Consider the following 2654-nt stretch of genomic DNA (forward strand, 5'->3'; position numbering starts at 1 on the left):
GAATATAAATTGTTATATTATAAAGGCACATGTATGCAATGAACTTCCAGCACTATTCAAAATAGCAAACACATGGAATCAACCTAAATGCCCATCAATGACAGATTGGATAAAGAAAATGTGGTACATATACACCATGGAATACTGTGCAGCCATAAAAAGGAATAAGATAATGTCTTTTGTGGGAACATAGATGGAGCTAGAAGCCATTATCCTTATAAACTAAAGCAGGAACAGAAAATCAAATACCTCGTGTTCTCACTTATAAGTGAGAGCTAAATGAAGAGAACTCAAGGACACAAAGAAAGCAACTGGAGCCTACTTGAAGACAGAGGGTGGGAGAAGTGGGAGGAGGAGAAACAATAATTACTGGATACTAAGCTTAGTACGTGGGTGACAAAATAATCTGTACAACAAACCCCCATAACATGAGGTTACCTATATAACAAACCTGCACATGTATCCTCAAACCTAAAATAAAAAATAAAAATAAAAATAACCTGTCCACATTTTAATAAAAGCTATTACATAATGAGTTTATACCTACTTTTTTGTTCTTTCCCTTTTTTGTAATACTTTAATAAAAATAATCTGAATCAGCACTGGTCTTTTAGAGAAATTTTTCTTTCAGAGGCAGTGGTTTAGCTCATTCAATTAATTATGAATTTACCTAGTTTTATGCACTCGAGCCCACAATTCCCATCTCTACATTCCTAGAGGATGCAATGGAAGATCTCATCACATTTATTGCTAAAATTCTGATTGATTATATCTATAGAATTCCTTTCTTAAAAAATATTTTATTTCCATAGGTTTTTGGGGAGCAGGTGGTATTTGGTTATAAGAGTAAGTTCTTTAGTGGTGATTTGTGAACAAATACATACTATTAGATGGAGATACATGTGGCATAGACATAGCCATAGGTATAGATACAGGTATAGGTATATGTACAGGCTCAAGTATAGGTGCATAGATAACGGATAACACTAGTCAGCCTTGACTTGCTCATAAGTGAATCCATGCTGGCTTCTGATGATCATCCCTTTCCTTTCTTGGTATTAGTGGCAAGAAACCCACACAAGTCAATGTCAACTTATGGATTTCTAGTTTGTGAATCTTCCATCTTTAAATTCCATTTTCCTCTATTGAATCTGGCACTGTATTGTCCTACATCTATTCTCCTAGCACCTCTCTTGTCAAAGTGTGAATTATATGTCCCACAAGCCCTCTCTCATCCCAGAAAAACAATTATAAAGTTAATGCTGGGCAACAAAATGCTATTTTTTATTTTAGATGATTCTCAAGAATAAATGAGATTATTAGAAAAAGATTATCCTAGTACACTAGCCACAGAACCCATCTCCACTCAGCAGCAAATAAAATCACAGCATAGTTCTAAGATATTTAATTACCCTATAGATAATGCTATGATAGTCTGACAAATAACATTTAATGCTATGTAAAGTGTTTGAAAACTTCCAAAGAGAAAGTTCTTCCTCCTCCCCAGTTCCAGGCCTATACAAATAATTTAGGAAAGACTTCTTCCTATGAAAAACAGATTTTCTAAAGTCTAAGTGTCTAAACTTTCTAAAAATAAATATGTAAATAAATGTGTGTCCCCTAATTCCTATGATGTGAATGCTTTCTGTACTGGACCAGATCTCATTCCCCATCATAGTGGAGATTTCTGGAGAAATATGTCTCCAATCCCTTTAGGACTTAAGAAACTGATTTTGAGTGTTAAAATTGTTACTGTTAGAAATGGAAAAAATTATAAGTGGTCCTTTTCATGGAGTAAGGAAAATGTAAGATATCTTCTCATTAGGAATTAAGCTTCTTTTTCCAATTGCCCTCTAGGAAGTTCTGTCAACAAACTTGAAATACACACTGCTTTGCAGATGGCGTCACACTTGAGGTTTGTTCCTCATGCTCATTATTAAATGTAGTGAAACATTCCTTTGACTCTACATCAGACACTAACTGAGGATACAAGGCCTGGGAGAATATAAATATTTGCACATAAAAAAGAATTATGACTTGATTTGCTGCTCTTTCACCCAGATGTTTGCATTGCTGGTATTTTTTATCACTCTACTGCAGAATGATCTTCAAAATGATAAAAGCTCCCAAAATGCCTTATCTTCTTTTTCCCATAATGATTTTTAAAAAAACACTCGGGGCTGATGAAATATCAAGACATATGTCTTTTTAACTAGCTAAACCCAAGGAGATTTTGATATCCCGTATCCAACAGTATAATCTCCCCTCCCAAGAAGGTAGAGCCAGGCCAGGCGGGCCCATGGCCAAGCAGGTCAAGGTTGGGCTTTGGTCTGAGTAGACAGATTAATGTCCTAAAAAGAAGGAAGTGGAAAAAAACAGTGAGGTAGTGCAAATGACATCCAAATAAAATGCTAGTGGTCAGCACTAGTGAAGCAAAATCCATGGTCAAGACTAAAGACAAACTCAGGAAGTCATAAGCCAGGGACACAGGAGGATGGAGCTGGAGAGGGGGAACACAGGCAGGAAGGGAGCAATCTATCCCAGAACATCTACTGTGAGTGATGTTCTCAGGAGCTGGTCTCACATTATGAGGTGGGTTATATAGACGGGTTTGCAGATGTAAACTTAGGACACACCCTGAGGTTTGCTAGAAT

This window comes from Homo sapiens, chromosome 1, assembly GCF_000001405.40.
Source record: "Homo sapiens chromosome 1, GRCh38.p14 Primary Assembly".
Taxonomy (NCBI): Eukaryota; Metazoa; Chordata; class Mammalia; order Primates; family Hominidae; genus Homo; species Homo sapiens.